Source organism: Homo sapiens, chromosome 16, assembly GCF_000001405.40.
Source record: "Homo sapiens chromosome 16, GRCh38.p14 Primary Assembly".
Classification (NCBI taxonomy): domain Eukaryota; kingdom Metazoa; phylum Chordata; class Mammalia; order Primates; family Hominidae; genus Homo; species Homo sapiens.
The window spans coordinates 68,326,885-68,353,333 of NC_000016.10; the positions used below are offsets into that span (position 1 = coordinate 68,326,885).

A 26,449-nucleotide genomic window follows, 5' to 3' on the forward strand; every position below is an offset into this window, starting at 1 on the left:
TGACTGATGAGTCAGAAGGCAGCAGGGGTGAGGGACGACACTGGCTTTGGATATTGTCAGGGTGGAGGCAAAGTGATTGGTGAGAACTAGGGTTTAAGGCCCTCAAACCACATCTAAAAACATCAAGGCAAATCCTAGAAATAATTTGAAATAGATGATGAAGATTTTTCTAGGAGAACATGTGTGTGTATTCCATGTAAATACTGCGCGCTAATCAATTGCACAACTGGAGCTGCTCACGTAAGTACTCTTTACGAAAGGATACAGCATTTGTCCCTTGATTATAGTAAAAAATATAGTATTCATGGTAGAAAATGTGGGAAATACAGAAAAGGATTTAGAAAAAAGGAAAATCTTATCAGGAACAGTCTCGGTATCATTTTGTGGTTTCCACTTCGTGTGTAGGGCCACACGTGAGTCTGTTTGTTTTACATGCTAGAGCTCTTGGGGCTGTGGAATCTAGACTGGATAAGTTGAAAACAAAGAGTTGGAGGTGCTTATTTATGTTCAGGGAAACTCGAAGAGTTCAGGGAAGACTTCTGGATGGGGGATTCATGCTGCCCTGGGAAGTGGGGTTTGATTTGGCAGGTGGGGCCAGGATAGGGAAGGCTCAGTGATCATGAGATCATTGTGGCTGGAGTGTTGGTTGTTGGGGGAATGGGGGAGGAAGACTGGGAAGGTAAGGGAGGGCCTCCAAAGCAGTAGTTTCCCCTTATCTATGGTTTCACTTTTCGTGATTTCAGTTACCTGTGGTCAACTGAGGTCCAAAAATACTAAATGGAGCCAGGTGCGGTGGCTCACGCCTGTAATCCCAGCACTTTGGGTGGCTGAGACAGGTGGAAACCTTGAGTCCCAGAGTTGGAGACCAGCCTGGGCAACATGGCAAAACCCCGCCTCTACAAAAAGTAGCTGGGCATGGTGATCTACGCCTGTAGTCCCAGCTACTTGGGAGATTGAGGTGGGAAATTGCTTGAGCCTGGGAGGTGGAAGCTGCAGTGATCATGCCACTGGACTCCAGCCTGGACAATAGAGTGAGACCCTTCTCAAAAAAAAAAAAAAGAAAAATTAAATGGAAAATTCCAGAAATTATTTATAAGTTGTAAGTTGTGTACCATTCTGAGTATTATTACATAATTGTTCTATTTTTAGTTATTGTTAATTTATAAATTATTATTTATATTTATTATTGTGCCTAATTTATAAATTAAACCTGGTCATAGGTAAGCTTGGAGGCTGAAGCAGCTCCACTGTGAATGCTAATCCTCCACGCTGACTTCTGACCAACCCCAGCTTCAGGAATGCCTCTAAAATTTCCGCTCTCATGCACTTTGATGTAAATCCTGCCCTCAGGTCAGAACAACTTTGATGTTATCATAAATACATACTTACCGTAAATCCTGCCCTTCGTCAAATTCCCTGTGGTATGTAAGCCCTGCGTCTGAGCCATAACAGTGTGGGGGCCCAGTTTCTCACTGCCCGAGACAAGGCTTCTGTTTGTATGTCTCTATAAAGTGTGTCTTTCTGAGAAGCTGGATTTGCCAGTCTTTCCTCAGCCTCTCAGCTCCCGTGGCCTGTTGGGGTAGGTTTGCATAGAGCTGCCCACCATGGAACAGTATGTATGTATAGCAAAAAAAAAAAAAAAAAAAAAATGGTATACATAAGGGTCAGTACTGTCTGAGGTTTCAAGCATCCACCAAGGGTCTTAAAATGTATCCCCCATGGACAAGAGGCACTGCTGCACCATAAGAAAATAGAGGCTGTGTTCTGCCAACAGTGGGGATTTGGGACAATTTTGAGCCCAGAGGATGACCTACTTACTCACACCTACAGTCTGCTCTCCTCTGGAGGGCACAGCACGCCTCCCAGGTTCGTGAGGCAAGTCCCTTTCCTGGCTTTTTGGCGTCCTCTTGTGCGGTACTGACACCTACTGCTCTTACTAAGTAGTGCAGCCTCCTCAGGATCCCCGGCATCCCCGCTGTGCCTGGCACGGAATGAGAGTCCCTAATCACAAGTTAAAGCCAGCTGAATCTCAGCCCTTTTTCATGATGCACATTTGGAGAATAAAGTATTTAAGTTACATATCTTAGGACCAGAATCAAGGAATAGCTTGCTCACCTTAAAGGTCAGACTACTGTTTAATTTATTGCTCATTTTTCCTTGGGTTTCGGCTCTATTTTCTAGGTTTTCAAGCCTATGGCTGATGCTGCTGTGAAGATTGTGGAGAAAAATGGCTTTAGTGATAAGATTAAGGTTATCAACAAGCATTCCACCGAGGTGACTGTAGGTCCAGGTGAGATTTACACACCCTGTGTTGAAAGCTTTGCTTGCTCTTGTGTGAGAGAGGAAAAGGGTTATTCCAGTTACCTGGAACAAATCCAGGTCATAGCATAGAAGTGGGACCTCTCTGTGTGGAGCTCTGACAGTAAGGACTTGGTTTCTCTTGATGTTTATTTTCCTGCTAGTTAAAACTAGTCAACAAGGAGTAGACTAGAGCTAGTCAGGTCCAGCAATGGAGACGCAAACAAAACCTACATTTGCTTTAAGCAAATTGGAATTCTTATGGGGCTCAACTCTTGAGTTTCAACTACCAATAATTACGCCTTGGATAAACCTCATTGGCTACGATACTGCCACTGCTCAAAGCTCAACTCTGAGTTTCATCAGGCAGAAAGTACTTAGTTCTTTTATTTATTTATTTTTTTGAGAGAGAGTCTCACTCTGTCGCCCAGGCTGGAGTGCAGTGGCGCTATCTTGCCTCACTGCAAGCTCTGCCTCCTGGGTTCACCCATCCTGGCTAACACGGTGAAACTCTATCTCTACTAAAAATACAAAAAATTAGCCAGGCATGGTGGTGGGCACCTGTAGTCCCAGCTACTGGAGAGGCTGAGGCAGGAGAATGGCGAGAGTAGTTCTGACATTCTGCTTCTGCATACAACATGAACAATTTTCCTGTATAGCATTGTCTCTTAAGGTTTCCAGAATATGTATATGTACACACACACACACACACACACATATTTTTTTTTTGAGACGGAATCTCACTGTGTCACCCAGGCTGCATTGCAGTGGTGCAATCTTGGCTCACTGCATCCTCCACCTCCTGGGTACAAGTGATTCTCCTGCCTCAGCCTCCCAAGTAGCGGTGATTACAGGTGCCTGCCACCACACCTGGCTGCTTTTTGTATTTTTAGCAGAGACGGGGTTTCACCATGTTGGCCAGGCTGGTCTTGAACCCCTGACCTCAGGTGATCCGCCTGCCTCAGCCTCCCAAAGTGCTAGGATTATAAGCGTGAGCCACCATGCCTGGCCTCCAGAATATTTTTTATAGTCTAGAACTTTGTTTCAGTCTTTGAAAATTTCACATGCCACTGACACTTAGAGAACATAGTTGAAAGATTTGCAAAGGAAAAACTGTGGTGAAGTTATGGATAACACCATGGGTTTTTTCTAATTTTTTGTGGAGATAGGGTCTTACTATGTTGCCCAGGCTGGACTCAAACTCTTATGCTAAAGTGATCCTCCCATCTCAGCGACCCAAGTACCTGGGACTACAGGTGTGCACTACTGCACCTGGCTTTTTCACCACGGTTTTGGAGAATGCAGTATCATTCTGAATTGAAGCTTCTACCTAAGGTCAACATTATTCTCCCATTTAACAATTTTTTTTTAATGGAGAATCTGAAACATGTACAAAAGAAGTGGGTACTATCTTATTTATTTATTTATTTGAGACAGAGTCTCACTCTGTTGCCCAGGCTGGAGTGCAATGGCAGGATCTCAGCTCACTGCAACCTCTGCCTCCCATGTTCAAGCGATTCTCCTGCTTCAGCCTCATGAGTAGCTGGGATTACAGGCGTGCACCACCATGCCTGGCTAATTTTTGTATTTTTAGTGGAGACGGGGTTTCACCGTGTTGGCCAGGCTAGTCCCGAACTCCTGACCTCAGGTGACCAGCCTGCCTCGGCCTCCGAAAGTGCTGGGATTACAGGTGTGAGCCACCGCGCCCGGCCTATCTTTTTTATTTTTAAAATATACAATAGAGTGCTCAAATCATTCCATTTACAATCAACGTTATTGAAGTATGATTTACATTAAATGAATATCCATTTTCATTATGGATATTTGACAAATATAAACACACTTGTAACCACCATCACCATAATGAAGATAATAGAACATCTCCATCATGCCCAAAGAGATTCCTCATAACCCTTTCTATCAGTCCCCCCATATCCTGGTCCTAGGCACCCACTCATAGACTTCATTATAGATTAGATTTGCCTGTCTAGGATTTCAAGGAAGTGGAATCAAAGAAGTGTGGACTCTTCTGTGTGTGTGCTCTCTTTTTTATAGCGTGATGCTGGTAAGATTCTTCCACACTGTTCATGTCTTGGGGGTCCGTTCTTTTGTGTTACTGAGCAGCACTCTATTAGATAGATGTACCATAACTTGTTTATCTCTCTACCTGTTGATGGACAGGGATTTCTTGGATAGGTCTTTAGATTCACTGATCTTTTCTTTTGCAGCATCTAATATGCTGTTAAGTATATTTAGTAAACTTTTCATTTCTCTTTCTTTGTTGTTCTTTTTTTTTTTTTTTTGAGACAGGATCTTGACCTGTCCCCCAGGCTGGAGTGCAGGGGTGTGAGCATGGCTTATTGCAGCTTTGACCTCCTGGGCTCAAGCAGTCCTCCTGCTTCAGCCTCCTGTGTAGCTGGGACCACAGGCTCATGCCACCATGCCTGGCTAACTTAAAAAAAATTTTTTTTTGTAGAGATGGGATCTCAGTTTGTTGCTTAGGCTGGTCTCAAACTCCTGGGCTCAAGCGATTCTCCCACCTCAGCATCCCAAAGTCCTAGGATTACAGGCGTGGGCCGCTGTGCCTGGCCTCATTTTTGATATTGTATTTTTTAATCTCTGAAAGTTCCACTTGATTCTTTTTCATAACTTCCATTTTTCTCATGTTCATAGTTTTCTATAAGCACATTTATTTTAGCTTTTTGAACATCCTTATCTTCTGTTCCCACCATCTTTGTTTTTTCTGGGTTTGTTCTCTTGACTCATTTTTATCCTTATTCTGGGTCACATTTTCCTTCTTCACATGTCTAACCATTTTTGTTTGGATGCTGTGGCTATTTGGAATTCCCCATTGTTGAGTGCTAGACTTCGTTGGTTTTGCTTTTTAAACTTTGGCATGCAGTTGGGTTACTTGCAGTTCAGATTGATCCTTTCAGGGCTTGTTTAAGCTTTCTTTGGAGTGGGGTTAGAGTAGCTTTAAGTCAGGCCTTCTCAACAGTAGTGCTGTGACGTTTTGGCATTCTCCAACTATGTGACATTTTGATAATTCTTTGTTGTGGACCCTGTCCTTTGCATTGTAGGATGTTTAGCAGTGTCCCTGGCCTCTTCCCAGTGGATGTCAGTAGCACTCCCCTCCTCCCACCATTCTTGCCAACTAAAAATGTCTCCAGACTGCCACGTCTTCCTTGGTCTCGAGTGTGTAAAATTGCCACCTGTTGAGAACCACTGCTCTAAGGCTGTTTAGCCAGACAGTTACTGTAACCTTTCTGGAGTGTCTGCTGAGAGCTCTAGGTGCTCAGCAGGGTTTCCCTTGTCTGGCTGATCAGAACTTGAATGTTTCCCAGGCCTCTGAGAGCTCCGGAGATTGTTATCACTCATGCAACCTTTGCTCGGCTTCACAGAGTATTACCCTGTGTGTGTGTGAATGTATTAACACAGACCCTAGAGGAACCCTGTGCAGCATTCTGAAGGCTTTTTTTCTGTGTAATTTCCTCTCTGATTCTCTGCCTGGCAAGTTCCAGCTGCTTCCACTTCCCTGAACTCGTTTCCTGTCTGTTTAACTCAGCAAGACTGCCGTGCTCTGTGTCACCTCTTACCCTATACTGTGGTCTGGAAAGGGTCTCCTGGCTGATAGCCAGAGCAGGGTAAGGGTTACTTGGTTTGTTTCCCTTCTTAGGGAGCAAACTGTGTTGCCTCTTGCTCAACATCTGAAAACACTTGTTTCATATATTTTGCCCAGTTTTCTAGTTGATAACAGCCGGAGGGTAAGCCTGATCCCACTTATTCCACTATGGCCAGAGTGGAGATTGATTCATTTATTTATTTTTTTTTGAGACAGTCTCACTCTGTTGCCTAGGCTGGAGTACAGTGATGCGAACACAGCTCACTGCAGCCTCGACTTCTGGGCTCAAGTGATCCTCCTGCCTCAGCCTCCTGAGTAGCTGGGACCACAGGCAGGCGCCACCATACCCAACTAATTTTTTTGTTTTTTTAAATTTTTATTAGAAACTAAGTCTTGCGGCTGGGTGCAGTGGCTTATGCCTGTAATCCTAGCACTTTGGGAGGCCGAGGCTGGCGGATCACCTGAGGTTGGGAGTAGCAACCAGCCTGACCAACTTGGAGAAACCTGTCTCTACTAAAAATACAAAATTAGTCAGGTGTGGTGGTGCATGCCTGTAATCCCAGCTACTGAGGAGATTGAGGCAGGAGAATTGCTTGAACCTGGGAGGCAAAGGTTGCGGTGAGCCGAGATTGCGCTATTGCACTTCAGCCTGGGCAACAAGAGCAAAATTCTGGCTCAAAAAAAAAAAAAAAGAAAAGAAAAGAAACTAGGTCTCGCTTTGTTTCACAGGCTGGTCTTGAACGCCAGGCCTCACACAGTCCTTCTGCCTCAGCCTCCCAAAGTGCTGGGATCACAGATGGGAGCCACTGTACCTGGCGAGATCATTTATTCTTGAAAATTTATCCATTTTGACGGCAGGGAGACTGATCTGCAGGGCAGCCTTGGCCATGAAGTATGCTGACTCTGCCTCCAGGCAGCATTGTTCACACACACCTCAGCTTAGGCCAGGCCCCTCATATGATTTCTTATTAAAAAAAAAAATTTTTTTTAGATAGAGTGGCTCTGTCGCCCAGGCTGGAGTGCAGTGGCATGACCTCGGCTCACTGCAACCTCCACCTCCCGGATTCAAGTGATCCTTCCACGTCAGCCTCCTAAGTAGCTGATATTACAGGCATGCACCACCACCTGGCTAATTTTTGTATTTTTAGTAGAGATGGGGTTTCACTATGTTGGCCAAGCTGGTCTTGAACTCATGACCTCAAGCGATCTGCCTGCCTTGGCCTCCCAAAATGCTGGGATTACAGGCATGAACCACCACGCCTGGCCAATTTCGTAATACTTTTCTTCATAGCGCTTACCACTGCAATCATTAAATCATTATGTAGTTATGTATTTAATGTCTGTATCCCCACCCAGCTGAGGCATCCTGAGGTCATGCACTGCGTGGGTTGTATTAACTATTCCATTCCGTTATTTGCTCCGGGCCTGTCATGTAAAGGAGTTAGGTAATTTTTGTAAAGTGAGTAGATTGTCAGTTGTGCTTCATCCATAATCCCTTGTAAATGTGACTTTGTTTCCGATCCTCAGCCTGACAAGTGGCTTCCTCATTGCCAAGTTGGGTGGTCTTTCCTCTGCTTTTCCTCTCTAACCACTGCCGCTTTGGTACTTCTGCCATTCCTTCCTTCTTGAAACTCTCCCTGGACCTTAGTGACATCTCTTCATCTTGGTTCTCCTGTGTTGCTTTCTTTCTGCTCCAGATGTATACTTTCCAAGGTTCTGCTCTCAGCCCTTTTTAAAAGTGGCATCTGAAGTTGCCTGTTCCCCAGAGCTGGGTTACATGCTGAGGCTTGTGGAGAGCCAACCCAGGGAGCAGCGTGTGTTCATCCGTCCATTTTGTTCATTTGGAAAGGGCTTAGGAAGCTCCTGGGGTGGCTACCTGCTTCAGACTCCCCCACCCCGTGCCCTTATACATTAGCAGTCACACTCAAAATACCAGGCCCTCAAGAAGTACTTGTTAAAATGCACTGGACCATAAAGCTTGAATTTTTTTTTTTTAATTTTTATTATTTTTTGAGACAGTCTCACTGTATCACCCAAGATGGAGTATGGTGGGGCAATTTCAGCTCACTACAACATCTGCCTCCCGGGTTCAGGCAATTCTCATGCCTCAGCCTCCTGAGTAGCTGGGACTACAGGCGCGTGCTACTACACCCGGCTAATTTTTGTATTTTTAGTAGAGACAAGGTTTCACCACATTGGCCAGGCTGGTATCGAACTCCTGGCCTCAAGTGATCAGCCCAGCTTGGCCTCTCAAAGTGCTGGAATTACAGGTGTGAGTCACTGTGCCTGGCTCTTGATTTTTATTTTAATGAAGCAATTTGGACTATAAAGCATTTTAAGTTATATAATTGGTTTAAACATTCAGGAGATAGAATTGGCAGAGTGGGTGATCAGTGGGTTGTAGGGTGACAGAAATCAATAATTTATCTAATGTGTGTTGACTGTTACGGGGCACTAGACCTTGTGGGTGCTGGGGTACAGTAGTGGACAGGCAGTCAGCGGTCCTGCTGTCCTGGAACTAGTAAATGATGCCCAGATTCCTGGACTATGTGACTCATTGATTGATTGAGGCAGAAACCCTGGAGGGAGGAGCAGGCGTGTTAGCTGGGGTGGGTGGGATGAGTTTTGGACAGTGTATTCCAGTTGGAGTTTGATGTGACATCAGAGAGGATGGGCAGGGCTTCTCGGGAGGGTGGTCTCTGTGGCAGAAGACAGAAGTTTCTTCTTAAGCTCCTCCACGTGATACTGTCATGGAGCACAGGTGAGCTTCATAGGAAGTGTGCTTTTTTTTTTTTATCTTCATCATCCCGACCACCACCACATGAGACAGAGCCCATTCACCCGTTTTACTGATGAGGCAACTGATGGTCAGAACGGAGGGCTCAGGGATAGGAAGTGAGATCCAGGCCAGGCTCCAGCCTCGAGCTCGAGGTTCACGCTGTCTCTGTTGTGCTCTTCTATCAGCTGCTCTCTTTCTTTTTTTTTTTTTTTTGAAATGGAGTCTCACTCTGGCCCAGATTAGAGTGCAGTGGCGTGATCTCGGCTCACTGCAACCTCTGCCTCCCAGGTTTAAGTGATTCTCCTGCCTCAGCCTCTCAAGTAGCTGGGATTACAGGCACCCATCACCACGCCTGGCTAATTTTTGTATTCTTAGTAGAGACAGGGTTTCACCACGTTGGCCAGGTTGGTTTCAAACTTCTGACCTCAGGTGATCTGCCCATCTCAGCCTCCCAAAGTGCTGGGATTACAGGCGGGAGCCACCGCGCCCGGCCCCTGTCAGCTGCTTTCATGCTTCTCTTTTCCTTGTGTCATCTGTGAGACTTGTGCTCTGTGTAGGGGAAATGAGTGGGCTTTGTCAGATTATAATTCATGAGGCATTAAAAGTGTTTACAGTTAATTCTCCCTGATGAATAGCCCCTTCCAAAGTCTATTTTGGCTCTTGGCTCATTAAAAATTATAATTGTAGAAGTAGCAGTACATTACTGAGGTTTAGAAAACAGTTAACAGAAGATCCCTCCCAAATCCTACTCTTCTCTAAAATCCTACTGTCCTAAAACAACTGTTATTTAAGAGATTGTTTGGTGACAAGGCGCTTTCATTAAGGGAATTTGCCATAGTGATCTGGGGATTCTAAGTCATGGATCTCAATTTTGGCTGCCAGAGCCTAACTCACAGTAGCTGGAAGATCATCAGAGAACCTTGTTGTCTTGCTTTGGCTTTCCCTCCCTCTCCCTGCAACCTAGAAGTATTTGACATACCAGCATTCTGTTTTTGCTTTTCAAATAATTTTTCTAATTTAGTGGTTAATAGTTTAATTGTTAATTTATATCTCTCTAATTGCTAATAGGGATGAAAAAGTTTTCATAAGTTTGATTTCTGTTTTGAATTTTCTGTTTATATTTTTACCTGGTTTCTTTTTGGGTGTGTGTTTTTTTTGTTTGTTTGAGACAGAGTCTCACTCTGTCGCGCAGGCTGGATCACTCTGTCGCGCAGGCTGGAGTACAGTGGCACAATTTCGGCTCACTGCAACCTCTGCCTCCCAGGTTCAAGTGATTCTCATGCCTCAGCCTCCTGGGTAGCTGGGGTTACAGGCGTGTGCCATCACACCTGGCTAATTTTTGTATTTTTAGTAGAGATGGGGTTTCGCCATGATGGCCAGGCTGGTCTTGAACTCCTGGCTTCAAGTGATCCTCCTGCCTTGGCCTCCCAAAGTGCTAGGATTACAGGCGTGAGCCACCATGCCTGGCTAATTTTTGTATTTTTTGTGGAAATGGGGTTTTGTCATGTTTCCCAGGCTGATCTCAAACTCCTGAACTCAATCCATTGGGTATTTATAGTTTTCTTATCATTTTTTGCAGTCTCCCTCCCAATATTAAGCATACAGAATAGCTGTAAGAGCAGTACAGTAAACACTTATGATCCCTTACCCTAGATTTATCAATTAGCGTTTTGTCATACATTTACATATGGATTTTTTTTTTTTCCTGAACCATTGGCAAGTCAGTTGCAGACATCCTGACACTTCTGAATACCTCAGCATGTATATGTGCTTTTAGCGTGATGGCCCCTTAACCACTTATCTTTCCCATATTTGCTGTAAATATTTTTCCTAGTCTGTTGCTTATGTCCAACTCTGTTTTCTTGTGTTTTTCAGAGGGTGACATGCCATGCCGTGCCAACATCCTGGTCACAGAGTTGTTTGACACAGAGCTGATCGGGGAGGGGGCGCTGCCCTCCTATGAGCACGCACACAGGCATCTCGTGGAGGTAGTAGACGGAGGGCTCCCTCAGACGTGTCTGTGGTCTCAGCCAGCTCACATAGCACTCACTCATGCACCGTGTCCCACACAGCCCAAGCCCTCAGCACCTCTGATACACCTGGGACACCCCTCCATTCCTGGGGGGGCTCTGGTTCTCCTCACTTAAAACTTTCATGTCCCTTGAATGCCAAATCTTAATAGGTTAGAGTTGAAAAGCAAGAAACTATATTCAAATTCAGTTAAGTTCAGCAAATATTCTCAGGAAGGCGATGCTTGAGCTGTCAGTCTTGAGAAGTGATCAGGTGTTGGCCTGGCAGATGGAATATTTCTGGTAGAGGAGAGCAGCACGTGCTAGACGTGAGACTGAATCGGTGCGGTGGCTCCGGAGCCTGCTTTGGATTTTGTGCTGTGTGGGAGGCAGGAGAGATGGGCTTAGCAACTGAGGCTAGAGAGCTGGGCAGGGGCTAGATGGAGTGGGGTTTGGGGGCCATGCCCAGAGGGTAGCTGTCATTAGAAGGTGGGGTGGCATCACAGGAGGGTTTGAAGCAGAGGATTGACAGCAGACTTATGCAGGCAGATGTGTGGAGGGCAGTTGGGGTATAGGGCTGGAGGTTGCGGGTGGGTTAAAAGGCTGTGGAATCGTCCAGACGCTGTGGTACAGTGGGCCTCAGCTAAGGCTGTAGACAGAGGCCTGATAGGTGGTCCCAGGAGTTGGTGGTCCCTTAGGTGTAGAGATATCGATGCTAGGGTTTGGGCACCTGGATTGGATGGTGGTGCTTCCTGTTGACGGGGAGTGCAGGAAGAGGGGTAGCCTTGGGAAGGTTGGGAAGTGGTGAGGGCGATTCTTCTGGTTTACACAGAGTTTGAGCTCTCTAAAGGTCAGCCAAGCAAAGAGGCCCAGAGATGCATGGATTTACTCAGTGAAGAGGGCATGGTTGAGGTCACTGTGGAGAGTGTGGAGGGAGACAGTCCGGACCAGGGAGTCCCCTTGTGAGGTGGGGCGGAGGAAGCACAGCCTGGGGAAGGCAGCGGGAGTGAGTCCAGTTAGAGCAGCATTTGTCTACCAGAGCAAGGTTGGGAGATGCTTCGCAGGGAGGCCAGTTATTCTGCTAGCCTTTTACCATGCCCAGAGCAACCCCTACAGCAGAGAATCATTTGGCCCAAGAGGCCAGTGGTGTCCTGGTGGTGAAAGCCATGTGGGTAGCAGCTGTGAGTGTGCTCTTGCCGGGTCCCTATTGCCTGGTGCATGGAGGACGTGGAGTGGATGCAAGAGGTAGGAGGAGAGCCGGACAAGGAGCCGGAGCCGGAGCCACAGCCCTAGGGGCTGAGTGTGCAGCAGTGCCCAGCGGCGCTAGAGGGCTGGGCAGCTGAGGGGGCACCGTGGTCCACAGGGCTTTGCCACAAGGAGGCTCTTGTTTTGGTGCTGGGCAGGAGCGGCACTGAAGGGACACTGAGCCCAGAGCCAGGATCACCACCCAGCAGCAGGACGTGAAGCATTTAAGAGTGCCAGGTAGCCAGGAACTTAGCTGACAGAAGTCATTTTAGGCACAGTGTGTGTTCTTTTTGAAATGTAGTACCCTTTTTTTCCCTTTTCCAAGGGCATAGGGCTGAAAACAGTTCACTATTCTAATAGTATAAGGTGTTGGGCATTACTGAACCAACCTAATGTTAAGGAATAAACCTCTTTTGATCAATGGGAATTACTGTGGGTCTAAGCATCTGATTTTTGTTTGGTTTTGTTTTTAATATAAACTTAGGAAAATTGTGAGGCCGTGCCCCACAGAGCCACCGTCTATGCACAGCTGGTGGAGTCCGGGAGGATGTGGTCGTGGAACAAGCTATTTCCCATCCACGTGCAGACCAGCCTCGGAGAGCAGGTCATCGTCCCTCCCGTTGACGTGGAGAGCTGCCCTGGCGCACCCTCTGTCTGTGACATTCAGCTGAACCAGGTGTCACCAGCCGACTTTACAGTCCTCAGCGATGTGCTGCCCATGTTCAGGTACCAAGGAGCCACCATAGGTGATGGCGCTTTGAGACATTTGATGGAAGTTGGGTATTAGGAGGTTCTTTTTGAGTGGGAAGGAAATCTAGCTGCTGTCACCTGCCTCGAAGGCAAGAGTCCTTTGCAGCCAAATGTCATTGCCAGTGAAGTCACTGTAAAAGCTTAAAAAATGGAGTGTGTGAGGTTAAACTCTGCTTACATTCTTGAATATTATTCCTCAGCATAGACTTCAGCAAGCAAGTCAGTAGCTCAGCAGCCTGCCATAGCAGGCGGTTTGAACCTCTGACATCTGGCCGAGCTCAGGTGGTTCTCTCGTGGTGGGACATTGAAATGGACCCTGAGGGGAAGATCAAGTGCACCATGGCCCCCTTCTGGGCACACTCAGACCCAGAGGAGATGCAGGTAAGAGGCAGGAGCCTAGCATGTGCCCTGTCAGGAAACTTGTCCACTGCTGTTCATGGGAAAGTAACAGTTGAGCCTTGGACCCAGGAGAATTTAGAGACAGGAGGGCTGTGTCAGAATCAAAGACAAAAGTTTTTAAAAAGCAAGCAAAGGCTAGCTGTAGTAACGTAGCCTTCCCAGGGTGAGCTCATGGTGAGCACTCATGGACACAGTGAGGAACAGAGAAGTTGGCTTTCCTCTCCCGCCTCATCATGATGCAGCCACCCTTAGATACCACCCCTCATCCCCTGAGTAATCCCAGGGGGCTCCCATCAGCTTGGAATAGAGAACTACAGCCTCACCTTCTGTGGCCTCAAAATCTCCTTTCTCCACCCCGATAGAAAGTAGGCAGAGGACATGAAACACAGAAAAGGAAATACAGATGATGGGGATAGTTGCCCACTGTCCCTCATAATAAGAGAAATGCAGTTTTAGCTGCTCACAGCACCTATGCTCCCAGCCTCTCAGGAGACTGAGGCAGGAGGGTTGCTTGAACCCAGGAAGTTGAGGCTGCAGTGAGTCGGGACTGCATTACTGCACTCCCGCCTGGGCAATAAGATGAGAACCTGTCTCTAAAAAAAAAAAAAAAGAGAAATGCAACTTTAAACTGCAATGAGATCTCATTTTCACCTACTAGTGAATAAAGTTTAAACAGTTTGCAAGCACACTGTTGGGGAAGCTCAGGGAAAAAGCAGGAAAGCGAGTCATCAGAACGTTTCAGGTAGAAAGCAATGCTGCTTTCAGACATGGGGCTGTGGCTGGATTTGCGTCTGTGCAGAATAGATGTGTGCAGCCCTGGTTTAGTAGAAAAAGGCCAACCTAAAGGCCACTAGCAGGGATCAAGTCCATTATCCTTTCAGTGGGTGAGGTAGCTCTCTGTGCACTGATGTGGGACAAGCTTCAGGGTGGATTATTACCTGACACAAAAATAAAGGTGCAGAATGGTGTGTTGTGTGGCAGCACTGGTGTTAGTAAAAATAGGAATATATGTGTTTGTGAGTGGATAGTCATGTGTGGTGTACATATAAGGAGGTCTTTGGAAGAATTCCCAGAAATTCGTAAAACTGACTGCATCTGGGAATGGGGACTGGAGGTTAGGGGTGGAAAGGAAACATATTTTTTACTATGCGTCCTTGTATACCTTTTGAATTTTCTCTCATGTGCTTGTGTTATTTACACCCCCATCCACCCTCTCTCACTCTCACACTCAAAGGAAAAGAAAGTGGGAAAGGTGTGTCGGAATTGCCTGATGGGTTCTTCCCACCCACTGTTCAGACAAAACCAATTCGCTGACACCATGGCATTGCAATAAAGACTTTAATTGACACGAAGCCAGCCACACCACGTGGGGGAGAGATTTGTTACTCAAATCAGTCTCCCTGAAAATTCACAGGCTACGGTTTTTTGTTTGTTTGTTTTGAGATGGAGTTTCGTTCTTGTTGGTCAGGCTGGAGTGCAATGGCGCGATCTCAGCTCACTGCAACCTCTACCTCCCGGGTTCAAGCAATTCTCCTGCCTCAGCCCCCTGAGTAGCTGGGATTACGGGCATGCGCCACCATGCCTGGCTAATTTTGTATTTTTAGTAGAGATGGGGTTTCTCCACGTTGGCCAGGCTGGTCTCAAATTCCCGACCTCAGGTGACCTGCCCCACCGGCCTCCCAAAGTGCTGGGATTACAGGCGTGAGCCGCTATGCCCGGCTCAGGCTAGGGTTTTTCAAGGATAGTTTGGCAGGCGAGGGAGTCCACTTCTGGGTGGAGTCATCAGACAGAAACGTAAAAACCCGAAAAGACATTTCAAAGGGTCAATCTTAGTTTCTGCAAGGTGGTGTTATCTGCAGGAGGAATCAGGGAAGGTTGCAGATCTTGTGACCTAACAATGGCTTCACCTTAGCAGAATTCAGCCTCCTCTCATCCTCCTAACCTGATGATCTTTCATTCAGTTTAAGTTTAATTTTGGGGAAGGACGGTTATCATTTAAAGTATTAACCAGCTGGGTGTGGTGGCTCACGCCTGTAATCCCAACACTTTGGGAGCCCCAGGTGGGTGGATCATTTGAGGTCAGGAGTTCGAGACCAGCCTGGCCAACATGGAGAAACCCCACTTCTACTAAAAATACAAAAATTACCCGGATGTGGTGGTGCGTGCCTGTAATTCCAGCTACTCGGGAGGCTGAGGCAGGAGAATTGCTTGAACCCAGGAGGTGGAAATTGAAGTGAGCTGAGGTCACACCACTGCACTCAAACCTGGGTGGCAGAGCGAGACTCTGTCTCAAAAAATAATAAGAACAAAAAATAAACTGTTAACCAAATGTCTCCCAAAGTTAGCTTGGCCCGGACCCAGGAATGATTAAGGGCAGTTTGGACATTAAAGCAAAATGGGGGTTGGTTAGATGAGATCTCTTTCACTGTCATAATTTTCTCACTTTTTCGCAAAGGCAGTTTTGGTTTCAGGACCAAGAAATAGAACCTGTCTCTACCCAGGAGCGCCTCAGGCACCATCCTTTGTCCATGGTCCAGCCTGCCTGGCCTTAACCCCTGGCTTTGTGTTGAATGCTCACCTGCTGGTTCTAGGTGTCCACAACATTATGGAAGGCCTTAGCAGCTTCACCTACCCCATTCCCAGAGTTACTGTTTAGGCCGAAGGGTTGTGACTGCTGGGGAATTGCTGTCAATCAGCGTACCCATACCGACAGCAGCATGTGAGACTAAGAAGTATGTGAGCTTCCTAGTCTCCCCTCCACCTTCCAGGTGCCTGGCCCCGGGTGTGTGTGTGTCCAGCCAGGGCCTGCCAGCATCCCTCTGCAGGCTGTGTGTGTGTCACTCTGAATTCACCCACAGAGTTGAGATTGGCACCGCGTCACATTCTTCCTAAGACTGTGTTGCAGAATTAGCATAAGAATAGCATTAAAATGTTAGTACTTTTGGCCGGTGGCTCACTCCTATAATCCCAGCACTTGGGAGGCCAAGGCAGGTGGATCACCTGAGGTCAGGAGTTCAAGACCAGCCTGGCTAACATGTTGAAACCCTGTCTCTACTAAAAATACAAAGAAAATTAGCCGGGCATGGTGGCAGGCGCCTGTAATCCCAGCTACAGGGCTGAGGCAGGAGAATCACTTCAACCTGGGAGGTGGAGGTTGCAGTAAGCTGAGACTGCACCATTGCCCTCCAGCCTGGGCAACAAGAGCGAAACTCCGTCTCAAAAAAAAAAAAAGTTAGTACTTTTAATTTGCATATCTTCGGAGCGCTACTATGTATTTTTTCTCCTTGAATCCTCTTAGTAGACAAACAAGGTAACCACAACCATAGCCAACCCGGGACTCAGCAGGCTCCAGGGATTGGAGCGGGGCCTTGTGTCCAGGAGCAGTAGAGTGGGTCCTGCCCCTGGTCTCTTGACTGTGGGTCTTGTGTTGTTTCTCTACCAGCGTTGACTTTTGGATTGGAAATTTGAAAGCTGCTAATGAATCTCCCTCATGAATTCATGTAACTGCTTTGATCCTAAGTATATTTAGTCTGTCCCACCTTGGCACAGTGGGTTCTGTCACCAGCTCCTCAACGTTAGGACCCAGGAGGTCCCTGTGGTAGGTAGTATGGGAAGGACATGATGACAGGGCAGTGCCATGGGAGCCTAGGAGGGGTCGGGAAAGGGTTCTCCTGTCTTCTTCACATGCATTTGCATAGTGTGGGAATGAATAAAAGGTTTAAAAGAACCTGTGTTATTCCTGTTACTATTTATTTTTCCAGAACATATCTGGTCAGATTTTCATTTTCTAGTTTTTATGTTCAAGTAAGCGTCTTAAGCGTGTGGGAATGTCATTCTCCTGCCTTTTTGTTAAATTAAAGACCAGGTGGGTGGGCACATTCCTTACCTGTGCTCTTGGAGTCCCACAGGGCCAAGTTTTTCTTAGTTCCTGAAGGTGACAGAATGAGCAGGCAGTCGTCTCATCAGAGTTGAGCCAGGCATCTCCTGTTTTTGTTTGTTAGAGACAGGGTCTTGCTTTATTGCTCAGGTTGGATTGTGGTGGCACCTCTTAGCTCACTGCAACTGTGAACTCCTGGGCACAAGCGATCCTCCCACCTCAGCCTCCTGAGTAGCTGGGACTACAGGCACTTGCCACTATGCATGGCTAATCTTGTGTTTTTTGTAGAAATGGGTGTCACTGGTATGTTACCCAGGCTGGTCCCGTACACCTGGCCTCAAACGATTTGCCAGCCTCGGCCTCCCAAATTGTTGGGATTACAGGCATGAGCCACCGTGTCCAGCTGGCATCTACTTTTTAGGGCAGTTCTTCCTTTTTCAAAAAGAGGCTTAACAATTATGAGCGAAATAAACCTCATTATATAAAATAAAAATATCACTCATGGTCCTCCCTTTCACTCAAAATAGCTCCCTTTGTTTGGTCTCTCTCCAAACGCGTGGGTGTCATCGGTGCTCATCTCTGTTCCGGGCCCCGTGGCCTTCAGCAGCAGCGTTTAAGATGTCTGTCCGTATTCTGCACGAGGGTTTATATCCCGTTCTGAGTGCTGGCCATTTGGGTGGGTTCCAGTTTTTGCTGGTATAAATAATTCTGTGATTTGCATTTTTATGTGAATATAACTTTTTTTTTTCTTTTGGGGTTTTCTTAGGATAGAAACCTGTATGTGGGGTTTGTAGTAAGGACTAGCACAGCTTATTAAAAATTGACCGTGGATCATTGTCAACCATGTTTCACAATTTAGAATATTCAGTTATTTAAATACTTCAATTTAATTCAAAGAATAAGCCAAAACCTTTTTGTATTTTCCCACCTTTTTATTTTGAAAAATTATATATCCACAGAATAAGTGAAAATGAACACTGATGGTCGCTTTATTAATTTAAATTTACCAGTTGTTAACGTTTGCCACATCTGCTTTATCTTTGTCTTTCTGCCTCCCTTCCTGCATCTCTACACACACACACACACACACACACGGGCATGCACATTTTTTTTTTTTATTGCTAAATCATTTGAAAGTAAGTTGCAGACATCTGACACTTTACTTTTAAATACTTCAACACTTATCTCCCAAGAATGAAAACAGTCTGCAACATAAATGAAACACATGATCACACCTAAGAAAAACAGTGGTTCCATAGTATCGTCTAACATATGGTTCAAAATAAAATTTGTCTCCAGAAGTCCTTGATAGCTTTTGTTTCCTCAGTCTACGATCCAGTTAGGTTTAGTGCATTGAGTCTGACTGTTTTGTAAATTCCGAGTACGTTAAAGCCTTTGGAATGCGTGCCATGGACTGTTCTGAAAAGGTTCCCCTTAAACCACTAGGTTTAAACCAATTTTTTTCCTTCAAAGGAAACATTCAGCACAGCTCTACGTGTTGAAGAGAGAGCTTTGGTGCTACTCTGATGGGGTGGGGACTGGAGCCTGCACTTGTCCCCTCCCCTGAGCCACTCTGGCAGATTGCTGCTCTTGGCCACATTGTGTCTTCCTAAAGCCAGCAGGGTTCCCGCAAACTTTTGGGCCACTGGCCTCTGAGTTTAGAGTTTATTTATCTCCTTGGCCACAATAGCCAGCTGTAGTCTACATTGTGGACGTCCTGAAAACTGGCAGTTCTCTGGCATTTGGCTCCTGGATTAGAAGCATTGCTCATACTGCAGCTCGTTGACAGCTGACTCTGTTCTCCGTTTCAGTGGCGGGACCACTGGATGCAGTGTGTGTACTTCCTGCCACAAGAGGAGCCTGTGGTGCAGGGCTCAGCGCTCTATCTGGTAGCCCACCACGATGACTACTGCGTATGGTACAGCCTGCAGAGGACCAGGTACGTCGAGCCTCGTGGGGGTGGAGGATGAGCCTCTGAGACTTGTATGTAAATTCCCCATTTACAGATCCTCTGGAGGTGCCAGTGGGTTGATTTGTGTCTGGACAGAATAACATAAGAACAAAGATTTGTGACCAGTGTGTCAGTGCCCATTCGTGTGTACCCAGGAGAGGCTGTCATGGGTTGCTGGAATCTGTTTAGAGCAGATGCGTAGGAAAAGTCTGGAATTAGCGGGTGCTCTAAGCCCTCATGCCTACTGGAGACCAGTGTCCAGATTCATGCCCTCTGGAGACCTGTGGAGGCGCTCACAGCCCACGTCTGTTTGTTCATCTCCTGGCCTAGCCCTGAAAAGAATGAGAGAGTCCGCCAGATGCGCCCCGTGTGTGACTGCCAGGCTCACCTGCTCTGGAACCGGCCTCGGTTTGGAGAGATCAATGACCAGGACAGAACTGATCGATACGTCCAGGCTCTGAGGACCGTAAGTGTCCAGCCCCTTGGCTTGTTGTGGGGAAAAGGGAGAAAGAAGTTTGTCCCATGAACCCCAGCACTTTGCTTATGATTTGCTGTTTCTTTCCTGTGTCCTCTTGTCTATGAGTGGCTTCAGCGAGCGCCTCCTGGGTGGGCACTGGAGCAGAAAGCGGGAGAGCCTGGGGCTGGACTTCCTGAGGGCTTGCTCTCTGCTCTACTGGGAGAGCCTCTGGCTGGGCTCCTGCTGGACACCTTTGCCTTGTCAGACACAGTCATTGCTGTGGGTGGTCACGGTGGATTAGGCCACCCCCTCTTTTCATGTGTTGTCACCTTTCTAAAATTTTCTAAGATGTAAATCTGATCATGTCGCTCTCCTGCCTGAAAACCTTTGCTCCCTGCTACCTGTAGCAGGGGACTCGGCTTGGGGATTACAGATGGGGCTTAGAGGGAGGGTCTCTTGAGGCCCTTGGGGGTGTGTACAGAAATAGGTGTGAATGTGTGCATTTTGGGGGATGGGGGGAGGATCCAAGCCATCCTGAGTTTCTCTCAGAGGGGTCTGTCACCCAGAAAGGCATCCTTGCCTTTGGGCAGTCAATTGTGAACACTCAAGCCTTGGAGGCTCTCAGCTGTCTGTGCTCTAACCAGACAGGGAAGAAGCCTGTTGTCATGGACTGGAAGGTGGCCTGCAGGTGGTGCAGGCCTTCAGCGGGGCCTCTAGGCTGGGTTGAGGGGTGTCTTTCCTGACACTGGGGACAGGTGGGGAGATGTGAGCAAGGCGGGCATGTTTGTGGCTGGGGGTGGTTACTGCATGAGGACGCAGGGGGATGGTCTGAGGTCTGGGCAAGTGGAGTGAGAAGGGAAGTATTTCTGACAGCTTGCCAGCAGGAATCTTCTGGCAAACTGGAGGAAGCCCTGTGCTGAGCTTGCCTGTTCCCCGCAGGTGCTGAAGCCAGACAGCGTGTGCCTGTGTGTCAGCGATGGCAGCCTGCTCTCCGTGCTGGCCCATCACCTGGGGGTGGAGCAGGTACTGACATGCACCCTTGTCAGCCTCCTGATGTGGGCTTGTGAGTTAGAGCATTGCGTGGTCCGGGTGCACAATTCTGTGATCAAGGCTCTTTGCAAAGGCCACTGTTGTGGGCACAGCATGCTCGGGTCAGGGGCTGGGGGGTTTATTGCCTGTGCGTGCAGGCAGGCGTCAGGCCTCAGAGCTGGTGTTCAGGCTGCCCCAGGGAGGGAATGAGGGCAGGGAGGGTTGTTCAGGTGTGTCCTCTGTCTTAGGATGGTCTTGTCGCATTTTAATCTTTAATTTCTTCTCTGTTAAGTGAATATCTTACAACTAATAGCGTGGTGTTCCCTCTAGGTGTTTACAGTCGAGAGTTCAGCAGCTTCTCACAAACTGTTGAGAAAAGTAAGTGAGAATTGTTGTTGCTGAAATAGTGAGAGGACCTGTGGGGTCTGGGTTGATGGCTTTGAAGTGGCATTGGCCCCAGGGGAACAAAGGAGTGGTGGCTCGCTTGCACCCCTGTGTTGTCTTGGTTGCTGCCTGGAGAGCAGCCAGAGGCCTTGGGAGCTGTCACTGAAATAGAGGCAGGCATTTGCACTCTGCTTTGTTTTTTTGTGTCTGAAGAAGTTTAGGCTTTTTTCCTCACTTCACATAAGCTACTGTTGCGGTAGAATTAAATGTAGGATGTGTTTCTGGGACATCAGTGCTGAGGGAGCCAGTGCTCACAGCCTGATGGGAGATGGCATTTCTCTCCCTGGCCAGTAACTGGTTTGATTTCCTCTCCAAAGGGGAACTCCCTTCACCAGAACTGCAGGCTCGCACTGAGTCCTGGTGTGCACATGCGGGAGAAATTTCTTTTGCTTTTATCACATTGTGCTCCTGATCTCATCCGTGGTCTATAGGATGCCCCCCAAGGAGAGGATTTTTCCACAAAGCAGATAAAAGTGGTGTTCCAGAACCATTTGCCGGAAAATTCAAAGCGGAGAATGCAACTTTGAGAGATTTTTTTTTCCTGACAAACACAATACTTTAGTATGAATACAGTAATTTTACGGTTTTCTTTCTAAGATCTTCAAGGCTAACCACTTGGAAGATAAAATTAACATCATAGAGAAACGGCCGGAATTATTAACAAATGAGGACCTACAGGGCAGAAAGGTGAGTAGCGGGAGCCTTTTGGCCACGCTGGGCTGTGTTAGGGTGGTCAGCACGGCACTGAAGTAGCCCAGGCCCCACCCTGTCCCTGGAGTCTCACAGTGGGTCCTCCACATGCAACCTTACCTCCTACGAGCTCCCACCATCAAGGGTGTGGTGAAGCTTTCATGGAGCTGCCCGGTGAGCAGATGGTTGCACTGCTCTTTTTTTTTTTTTTTTTTTTTTTTTTTTGAAAATGGGGTCTCGCGCTGTCGTCCAGGCTGGAGTGCAGTGGCACGATCTTGGCTTACTGCAGCCTCGACCTTCCAGCCTCAAGCGATCCTCCCACCTCTCCCGAGTAGCTGGGACTGTAGGCATGTGCCATTATGCCTGGCTAATTTTTGTATTTTTTGTAGAGTCAGCGTTTCATCATGTGGCCCAGGCTGGTCTTGAACTCCTGGGCTCATGCGATCTGCCAGTCTCAGCCTCCCAAAGTGTCGGGGTTACAGGCATGAGCCACCACACCTGGCTGTACTGCTCTTAGCTCAGCCTCATCTCTGCTCCTTCAGGTCAGGACAGAGCAGCTCTCTTGGGGTTCCTAGGAGCAGAGCATGTCCTTTCCTCTCCACCGCACTCCTGTCTTCATTCCCCGTCCACGGCTTCCTGCTGCAGTCAGGCTTCCGGGCCCTGAAACTGCTTCTGCCAGCAACCTCGTCGTTACTCCCACGGTCTCCCTGCAGGCTTCATCTGCTCTACCCGCTTGTCCTTGTGACCCGGGACTTCTGCCTGTGCTGGGGAGGTCGCTTTCCCCTCACCTTCCTGGCTGCTCCTTACCTTGCACTGCTCCGTGGCACTCTCCCCGTGTCCCCCGCTTCCCCTACTGCATCCTCTCTGGTAATCACGTTCCTTCTCATGTGTGAATCAGTGACCATCAGAGCCGGCCTTCACTCTTTACTATTTTGGATTCAAATCTCATGTCCAGCTGCCATCCTGTCACCTTTCCTTGAATATGCCACAAACTGGACTCACCCAACGCGGAGCTATCATCTTTCATCTTTCCTGCCAGTCTTTTTTTAAATAACAGCTTTATTGAGATGTAGTTGACATACCACAAAATTAATGCATTTCAATTGTACAGTTGAGTGATTTTTTTAAGTAAATATATGGAGTTAGCCGTCACCCAGTCTCATTTAGAACATTTCCAGGCCCGACATGGTGGCACATGTCTGTAATCCCAGAACTTCGGAAGGCCAAGGTGGGAGGATCGCTTGGACCCAGGAGTTCAAGACCAATCTGAGTAACATAGGGAGACCCTGTCTCTATAAAAACAAAAAAAATTAACCGAGTGTGGTGGCACGTGCCTGTAGTCCCAGGAGGCTGAGGTGGGTGAGGTGGGAGGATCGCCTGAGCCCAGGAGTTGGAGGCTGCAGGGAGCCGTGCTTGTGGCAGAGCACTACAGCATGGCTGACAGAGTGATACCTTGTCTCTAAAAAAAATGGGAATGAAAAGAGAACATTTCTGTTACCTCCCAAATTCCTGGGAGCCTGTTGATAGTCTGCATCCCCATGCCCCAGGCCTGGCAGCCACTGGTCTGGTTTGTGTCTCCAGTATGTGCCTCTTCTGGCATATCTCAAAAGTGAGGTACGCAGTGTGTGGTCTTGTGAGTCTGGCTCCTTTCGCTGAGCATAATGTCTTTGAGATTCACCCATTTCGTTCTTTTGAAGGCTGTGTAGCATTCCACGGTGTGGCTATCCATTCATGTGCTTATGGACGTTTGGATTGTGTCCAGTTTTTGGCCACTTTGAATAAGGCTTCTGTGAACATGGATTCACTGGTCTTAGAGAGGATGTATGTCCTCAGTCTCTTATGCAGATGCCTTGGTGTGGATTGCTGGGTCATGTGGTAGTTACGATCGACTTTTTAAGAAGCTGCTGAACTGTTGGTTGAAGTGGCTGTCCTTTTGACATCCCCATCGGTAACATCTGAGGGTCCAGGTTCTCGGATCCTCACCAGCACCTGGCATTGGCTTTTTTTTTTTAGCATAACCATATTAATGGGAGTGTGGTGATGTCTCCACATAGTTTTAATTTGTATTTGCCCAATGACTGATGATGGTGAACATCATTTCGTGTGCTTGTCTTGCTTGGTGAAATGTCTATTCAAGCCTTTTGCCCATTTAAAAAAATAACAGTTTTATTGAGATATAATTCACATACCTTACGATTCACTCAGTGATTTTTGTATATTCATAAGGTTGTGTAACCATCACCACATCAGTTTAAGAACCCTTTCATTACCCATTGGCAGTCATGCACCATTTGTCCGCAGTCCCCCAGCCCTGGGCACCCACTCTTCTCCTTTCTGTCTTTAGCTTGCCCATTCTGGGCATCTTGTGTGAATGGAATCAGACAAGTGTGTGGTCTTTCGTGGCTGGCCTCTCATGTGGCTTCATGTTTTCGGGCTCATCCATGTCGTAGCCTGAATCAATACCTCATTTCTCTTTCTTGCTGAATAAGATTCCATTGTGTGGATAGACCATGTTATTTATCTGTTTCTCAGCTGATGGACATTTGGGTGGCTCCTACTTTTGGGCTGTTGTGAGTAATGCTGCTATAAATATTCATCCACAAGTCGCCTTTTTTCTCCCTCATAGATGAGGGCATAGGAGATGATTCTGAAAGCCACTGTGTGGTGTACCGGTAGACCGGGGTCACATTGAATTGGAGTGGTGGGAGCGGGCGTTCTTGCCATGTTCCTGATGCTGTGTGGGGAGGCGAGGAAGCACTCAGGGCAGCCCCTTCTGTCTGCCAGCATTTCCTGCTGCATCTCCATCATCTCTGACTGGCCCCACTTTGGTGCCTGACTGCTTGGGCCTGCCCAGGGTCGGCTACCTCCTTACCCTCTGCCACTCCTTCCACTCCTCCCACCCCTCCCACCCTGTAGTCTCCGTTTCTTACCCGGACTCTTTCTGCACTCTCCCAGGTCGCCTCCGTCCCCAGCACCTGCAGGTTCCCTTCCACACTTCGTGGTCCTCAGCAGCATCTTCTAAATCACATTCCTTCTGATTTTGAACCCTGATGAAAACTTCTAGTGACATCCACCACCCCCACTGCCGCCTCCGGGATGAGTCCAGCCCCTCACCCTGTCCTGGCTGCCTTGGGCTGGGCTGGCTTCTGTCCAGCTCCACACCCTCACCTTGGGGGGCCTTGCTGTCTCCCGGCCTCACTCTTGCCCCTGCTGCCCCTCCCTCGGCCGTTCAGGCTCCTCGCTGTGCACGTGTTCATTTACTCACAAATGTTCACAGAACATCTGGTCACGGCACTGGCCCACTGCTGGGGGATGCTGGGCCACCAGTCCCTGCTCTTGTGGTGCTCAGAGCCTGGGGAGGGAGACGGAGACAAGCCCCGGTAAGTCCTGAGATAAAGCGTCCAGTGGGGGTTGACAGGATGCCACTCTGGAAGCCCCGTCTGGCACGTTTATTTCTGGGCTCCCTCCATGACCCCCTTCCTTGCTTTTTTCTATCACATGGGGTCAGCCCCACTTTGTCTGCTTCCCTCTTCTGCTCTGCTCTCCTGAGCACGGGACTCATGTCTGGTTGTAATCTTTACAGCCTCCAGGGCAGGTACAGAGCACCTTGCTGCCTTGCTTGTTTGTTGACTGAGGGAGGGAGGGACTGATGAGGGAGGGAGGGAATGAGTGAGTGACTGAGTGAGGGAGGGAGAGGGAGGGAGTGAGGGAGTGACTTGAGTGACTGAGTGGCCTGTTGCTTCCGTGTTCCTGTTAACACTCCTGGACCGAGCCCTACTGACACCTGGGCCCTGCTTCTCGCCCATTCACCAGGTCTCTCTCCTCCTGGGCGAGCCGTTCTTCACTACCAGCCTGCTGCCGTGGCACAACCTCTACTTCTGGTACGTGCGGACCGCTGTGGACCAGCACCTGGGGCCAGGTGCCATGGTGATGCCCCAGGCAGCCTCGCTGCACGCTGTGGTTGTGGAGTTCAGGGTAGGCCACCCAGGGGATGTTGGAGAAAAAAGCAGAGGAGGCGGGTGGGGAACCTTGTTTTCTTGCAGGAACCTTGGGTGCCTGTAGAGCGGCTCAGGCCTTGATGATTTGAGCTTGTGTTTTCTTTCTGTGTCAGCACACTGTGGGGTTGAATAGAAGATGCTTGCCTTTTAAAAAATGCGATAATTTGACATACGAAATGGAAATGGCTGAGTGTTGTCATTTTACAATTGTGGCTTATCAGAATAATTTAAAAATATAAATTAAGCGTTTCAGAAGCCATGCCGTGTGGCCTGCTCTGCTCTCATTAATAGCCGAGGCTTCGATTGTTAAAGGCATTTTGAGATGGGAGAGTCAGCTGCTTTGTGCAAGAAAAAATGGAAAAGCTTCCTTTTAATTTTCTCATCAAAGCAGAACCATAGTCACAAAGTCATTTTGGGAAGGGCATTTTTATTAAAAGGATTTGAAAAGCTTTACCCTGGATGGAGAGTGTATCTCATTTGATGAGAGTGGTTTTCTCTCCTAGCTTAGTGGCTCCATCACTGAAAGTCTGGGCATTTCTCCTGTGTTACTTGTTTACCTAATCAGATTTCCACATGAATTCTGGTTTTCATGGCCAAAGAGGGGATGTCACGATCCATGCGTGCGTGTGACCAGGAGGAAGGGAGGGAAGGCTGTGTGGCCTGAGTGTCCTCTGGGTTCCTCTTGGCAGGGCCTTTTTCTCTCCCCAGCATCCTCATGAACTGGAGATGATGCTGGGGAGAGAATTGGCTTACAGATTTCTTCCCAAAGAAATGATGTTCAGGATGGCCCGGATAGGAGTGTGCAGCCCCCAGCCTAGGAGCTCTGGCCGACTGTCCCTTATAGGAGAGGACTCAGGTGTCACGTCAGAGCTTGCAGGTTCCCGCCCAGCCCAGTCTGTTA

The 26,449-nt window shown here is 47.9% G+C and overlaps 1 protein-coding gene and 1 pseudogene across 64 annotated transcripts in view, besides 1 other annotated feature; one reads left to right on the top strand and one right to left on the bottom strand.

The window, feature by feature from the left end:
* The window catches only part of PRMT7 (protein arginine methyltransferase 7), a 49,852-nt gene that overhangs the window by 15,866 nt on the left and 7,537 nt on the right, over nt 1–26,449 (top strand). For 25 of the 64 annotated variants that reach the window (XR_007064885.1, NR_147058.3, NR_165372.1 and 22 more), the window contains 10 exons: nt 2,182–2,290; nt 10,575–10,687; nt 12,438–12,679; nt 12,904–13,084; nt 18,791–18,918; nt 19,261–19,396; nt 20,327–20,410; nt 20,747–20,794; nt 21,458–21,547; nt 25,364–25,525. Coding sequence is in view for 46 of the 64 variants with exons in the window: in XM_047434220.1 (XP_047290176.1) it covers nt 2,182–2,290; nt 10,575–10,687; nt 12,438–12,679; nt 12,904–13,084; nt 18,791–18,918; nt 19,261–19,396; nt 20,327–20,410; nt 20,747–20,794; nt 21,458–21,547; nt 25,364–25,525 (1,293 nt within the window). In the remaining 18 variants the exon portion in view is untranslated. Of the gene's footprint in view, nt 1–2,181; nt 2,291–10,574; nt 10,688–12,437; nt 12,680–12,903; nt 13,085–18,790; nt 18,919–19,260; nt 19,397–20,326; nt 20,411–20,746; nt 20,795–21,457; nt 21,548–24,505; nt 25,526–26,449 lie in introns of those variants that run through there. The other 39 variants (XR_007064887.1, XR_002957814.2, XM_017023296.3 and 36 more) reach the window with 13 other exon arrangements.
* RNU4-30P (RNA, U4 small nuclear 30, pseudogene) lies at nt 2,503–2,645 on the bottom strand (annotated as a pseudogene).
* Nucleotides 21,820–22,320: an enhancer, noted in NCBI's record as "H3K27ac hESC enhancer chr16:68382607-68383107 (GRCh37/hg19 assembly coordinates)". NCBI's record gives its function as "activates a minimal SCP1, AML or CMV promoter by ChIP-STARR-seq in naive H9 embryonic stem cells {active_cell/tissue: H9 hESC(naive)}" and the evidence as "EXISTENCE:reporter gene assay evidence [ECO:0000049][PMID:30033119]".